Genomic DNA, 2,230 nt, shown 5'->3' on the forward strand with positions numbered 1-2,230 from the left:
TGTGAGTTTGCAGTTGAGATTGTAAGTGGATAATCAGAAAGCCTGGGTGGCAGCTTTTGAAGGATGAAGTGGCAGCTTTTGAAGGATGAAGTGTCTCCTATACTCACAGAGCAGATGACACCGTGGGCCACGTCCAGTTCCTAATGCTGAGCATTATAACAACATTTAATTGGGTTGCACACCAACTTCACTAGGCCTTTTCTGCCAAGGTGAGGGCACTGGTAGAGGAGTGGAGCTTAAAACAGGGGCTGGATCAATGTGGGTAAAGCAGAATTTTGAAACTCCAGACTCCCTTGGACTTCCCTAGCTATGCGAGGGAGCTCTGCCTCCACTATTTGAGAGAAGCAGTTCTTACCTACATAAAAATTTTTCAATACCTGCACCTGGGGCAGTTGTCACACAAGCTGAGGCCAGTGCCCCTCAGGACCTCCCTCCACCCAACACCTGCCCCTCATTACTACTAGGCCTTTACTGAAAGGAATTGCTAGTCCTGAAGTGAGTAGTGATAGCCTGTACACAGAAAGAAGTTTAGATCGGGATTGTACGAAACTGTATTGTCAGGAGCCTAGGGAGCCCTTAAGGGGTAGTGAATCCTAAGGATCTTAGACCAAGGAGAAAAAATACATGGCTTTATTGAGCCACACTCACAGAGATGGGTTGGGATTTAATGTATTGCATGGGCCACCCAAGAGTGACATTAATGATCTGCTAATTGAGCTTGAACTCATGGCCTTGGTTAATTGAGCTTGAACTCATGGCCTGGAGCCTTGAAACTCAGTGTGGTCTGTGGATCGGCAGCAGTGGCATCACCTGGGAGCTGAATGGAATCCTAGAATCTCAGAATCCACCCCAGACCTACTGAAGCAAAACTCTGTATTTTACAAGCCTCGCAGGTGATTTGTGTGCATATTAAAGGTTGAGAAAAACTTCTCTAGGCCTCTGATATAATGAGGTTGAAATATCGAACAGTGGCTTCCACACTGTGTTCCCAAACAACAGGGTTGGCATCATCTGGGAACTCAGAAATGCAAATTCTCAGACCCCACCCAAGACCTCCCGAATCAGAGTTATGGGGTAGGGGGCAGGAATCTGTGTTTTCACAAGCTTTCCAGGGGATTCTGATGCACAATCTTGTTTGAGTCAGTTTCATGACCTGCTTATGGCCTATAGTTAATTAGGTCAAAATGTTGGAACTTCCCTGGCATACCAAAGAGCAGTGCTTCTCTATTACAAACAACTACTCAGCCACCCTCTCATCTGCTTGTCACCAAAGCCGCAGGAAGTGCATCAGTGGGAAGATACCAGCCTGCTTGAAAAGGTGATGACTCTCCTTGAGAGGCCAGAGATAACCTTGGGGGAAATTGCAAAAGGACTGGGTTTTCTGATCTCATGGGACTATGGGATCCCAGAGGCCTGAGGCCAAATGGCAGCATTTAACTGTCAAAGACAGTTGAGTACACCAGCTACAGTAAGCCACAGAGACAGAGGTAATTAGAGATTTTTGGCCCACAGGCATCTGTGGCAATAACTAAATGATTATAGGATCTCTTGAAATGAAATCTGTGGTCACTACTGAAGTTCTTCTTGATATATACAGGTGAAAAAATTGGGGCTATACTGGGAAAACCTCAAATCTACATAATGGGAAATCTTGGCCTCTTAGGTCCCAGATCTTAGCCAAAGCCCCTCAACAGAGGGAAAGGGTGGATCCTTTGAGGACGGATGCTATAGTAGAGGCATAGCTGTTTATCATGAATGATCCATCTCCTCTTCCCTGGAAGAACTTACTGCCATTTACTTAAGAAACTATACATAGAGCAAAGAGAAATAACACACCCTCTCAGGAGTTACTAGATACTTACTCTGAACTGACATTTATCCTAGGAGACCTGAAAAATGCCAGTGGGGTCCACCATTCAGATAACTGGTGGAGTCTGGGCCCAGGTTCATCTTACGGTTGGTCCAGTAGGACCTTGGATCCACATTGTGGTTATTTCCCAGCCTTAAAATATACAGTGGGGCTACATATACTTAGTAACAGGCAGATGCCCATATTTGTTACCTATTTATGGAGCGAGAGTTACTATGGTAGAAAGGGCCAAGTGAAGACCCTGGAACCGCACCACCACCCTCCTTCATGATGGTAAGCTGAAAGCAATTCCCCATCCTTAGGGGAGTTGCAGAGGTTGGTGCCACCATTGAACACTTAAAAGATGCAGTGCTTTGATCC

General features: G+C 45.7%; 1 annotated feature.

Moving 5' to 3' along the window:
- Window positions 566-1,765: an enhancer, noted in NCBI's record as "CDK7 strongly-dependent group 2 enhancer chr9:74604827-74606026 (GRCh37/hg19 assembly coordinates)". NCBI's record gives its function as "activates an origin of replication core promoter dependent on BRD2, BRD4, P300/CBP, MED14 and CDK7 cofactors, with strong dependence on CDK7, by STARR-seq in HCT116 cells {active_cell/tissue: HCT116}" and the evidence as "EXISTENCE:reporter gene assay evidence [ECO:0000049][PMID:35650434]".

The sequence above is a fragment of the Homo sapiens genome, chromosome 9 (genome assembly GCF_000001405.40).
Source record: "Homo sapiens chromosome 9, GRCh38.p14 Primary Assembly".
NCBI classification, from domain to species: domain Eukaryota; kingdom Metazoa; phylum Chordata; class Mammalia; order Primates; family Hominidae; genus Homo; species Homo sapiens.